Source organism: Homo sapiens, chromosome X (genome assembly GCF_000001405.40).
Source record: "Homo sapiens chromosome X, GRCh38.p14 Primary Assembly".
NCBI classification, from domain to species: domain Eukaryota; kingdom Metazoa; phylum Chordata; class Mammalia; order Primates; family Hominidae; genus Homo; species Homo sapiens.
The window spans coordinates 52468093-52471297 of record NC_000023.11 but is presented as its reverse complement, the minus strand read 5'-3'; positions in this window follow the sequence as shown (position 1 = coordinate 52471297).

Here is a 3205-nt window from a genome sequence, read left to right as displayed (position 1 = left end):
GGTGTGTCTGAGAGGTTGTTGCCAAAGGAATTCTCTGGCTCTTAAAGAATAACTGCATTTTAAAGCCTTCCCGCAGTGAAGCCTTGAATGACTGAATGATAAAATGGCAAGAGATCATCAGATTTCTGTGGCCAGTATAGCAGGGAGAATGCATGTAGGTCAGTGATGCTTAAGGTGGGTGTAAGATGCTTCTGCTAAGCATGCTCCCTGCCCTCTTGTCAGTCAGTCTTCATGAGCTACTTCGTGTAATTAGATTAAAGACTCATATAGTAGAGTCACCTCTAACCATACCATACATTACACATTACAGGTTTCTGCCTTGAGACATTAGATGACAGGGTTTAAAGTACAATAACAGTAATGTGCTAATTCCTGAGTGGTTGACATAAATATATTTTACACATATTTTCCAAATTGGTGACTGTTAATTAGAATACCTCTTGAAGTTAAAAGAAACACTCCATGTTTAAGGGAGAAATTACCTAAATGTTTTTACTCTCCTCTGCTGAACCATTCCATTAGACTGTTTACGTTAAAAGATAGTTCTCGGACGATTTCCAGCAGCCTATTGAACAAGACTCTGTTTTATTTTTTGGGAGATCATAGCTTTAAATGCAAATCTTCTTAAAATAAATAGCTGATTACATGATAAAAGAAAATAATACTATGAAATAATAATAAAAGAGCCACAGAATAAACTTAAAGGAAAAAGAAAGAGGTAATGAATAAAAGACAGTTACAAATCATCAGTAAAAGAAAAAATAATTCAAATGTAATGCATTTAAAAGAATGGTCTTTTGAAAAATAGGTATGAATAGAGTATTCAGTAGTTTACACCATCTTGCAGAAAATGGAAAAAGCACGACATGGAATATGAACAAGACAGGGTGATTTAATATAGGGCATTATTGAAAGTGAATAAAATCTTGAACTCTAATATTTTCAGAGCATGAATGAAATGGTTGATAAGCTCGGAAGGCATCCCATTTACTTTCAGAAACTGATTTTGACTTTTTCAGATGTCTTACTATTGTTTTCCATTTCCATATCCCTCCATTTTTTCGTGTGTGGCACAGTTCATAATGCTGTCACACATTGATGACAAAACTGATAGTGATAGCTTAAGAGTAATGTGACCTTATATTTAATTATACAAATGGGAATACTTTCAAGTGTAAAAAGAGGCATCATTCATGTTGACATCACGGTAGAAGAAAACTGGGTACAAACGGTTACTGTACCTTAAAAACCACAGTAGGGTAAACGAGCCCAAATAAATATTTTTGCCCTTCTGCACAATAGAGTAAAAATAAATGCAATGCTGGCCTTTCTATTCACTTCCCTGATGCAGTTCCTAAGGTGACATTAACCATTTTCTTCCAAGAGAGACTATTTCCAGGAGCCCATTTGGCATACAGACCATAGATTCAAGCCAGAACATTAAAAAGAGTGTTTGCAAAAGATTATACATTTTACATTATACATCAAAAAGGAAGAAATACATCAGAAACAAAGAAATGAAATAAAGATTTTTTCTCAAATAAATTTCACGTTTCTGGTGACTTCACTGGATAATCCTGCAAAACATTTGTGAAAGAAATAATGTTGTTTCTACACAAACTCTTTATAATTGAAAAGAGATCACACTTTTCAAAACATTTTACAGAGTCCACATCAACCTGGTATCAAAACCAGACAAACATCATGAAAAAACAACATGACAGACTAATATAACTCATGTCTATAAAAGCATAGATTTATGTTTATGCTATAATAATAGCAGGTCAAAACTAGGAATATATTAAAAATTTACAACATCATAGCCAAATGAGATTCACCCCATGACTTGAATATATTTATACATGTATATGTGAGTTTAGCATGGTAATATGTACAAGAGAAGTTTGACTTTCGCAGCAACAAACTATTGAAAATTTAAAATCAATGCCACTTAATATAGCGGCAAAATCTCATGAAATGTTTAGTGGTAACATTTAACAAAATATGTGCAAAACCTGTACTCAGAAGCCTAAAAAACATTGCTGTGAAATATTAAAGCAGGCTGAAATCAGTGGAGAGGTATACCACGTTAATGGATTGCAATACTCAAGATTGTGAACATGTCAGTTTCTCCCAAATGAACTACACATTCAATGTAACCACAATCAAAATCCATGCAACTTTTTGTTTCTACAAATTGATAAGCTGAATTCAAAGTTTATATGGAAAAGCAAAGGGACTGGAATAGTCTAACAATTTTATAAAGAACAAAGAATATTGGAGGAATCGTTACCTGTTTTCAAGATGTATTTCATAACTGTGGTAATCAGGACACTGTGATATTGGCATAAGGAAAGAAATAAGGGCCAAAGCTAGACCTATATATTCTCGTTAATTTTTTTCCATAAGGTCCCAAGATAATTTAGTGGGAAAGGATGCTGTATTCAGAGAATGATGGTGGAACAATTGGACATTGACATGCAAACAAGTGAACCTGAACCTTTGTCTCACACCATATACAAAAGTTAATTCAAAATGCATCATAGAACTTATCACACTTCTAGAAGAAAATGTAGGAGAATCTGTGGCAACATGTAAAACAACGATAGATGGGATACAAAACACACAAACTATGAAATAGAAAATTCATAAAATTTTTAATATTTATATATTTACATGCTATCCTTATCCAGTCACTAATTACTTTTCCAAGCATTATACAAATCACATGAAGAGGTCATTAGACTTCTGATTTCCTAGAGAAATTTCCATTTAAATTTTTCATACAAGCTCATGATGATGAAATCCCAGCATTACATTTAGGCTCCACAATACCCTGTAAGGAGAGCTGAATATTTATTATGCTCATAAAAATATGGCCTCACCCTGCCCCCACAGACTCAGTCCTTGAGTCCCTGAAGAAATGAAGTGATAATCAAAAGATCATGGAAGGGGTCAAAGGTAGTTGTGACATTGTATCTCTGGAACATGCTCCCAGGGAAATGTGGGAACAGCAACAATATAAACAGCAAAACAGTAACAGCTAGAATTGATTGGAAATTGACCATATGCCAGGGACTTTCCTGACAACCGTACATGTTTTCTTCACACACTCAGTGCTCTAAACTGCCCCAAGAACTACATAAATTTACTAGTAGTATTTCTATGGTACTATTGGAGAAAGGAGTCACAGAGATGTTAAGTA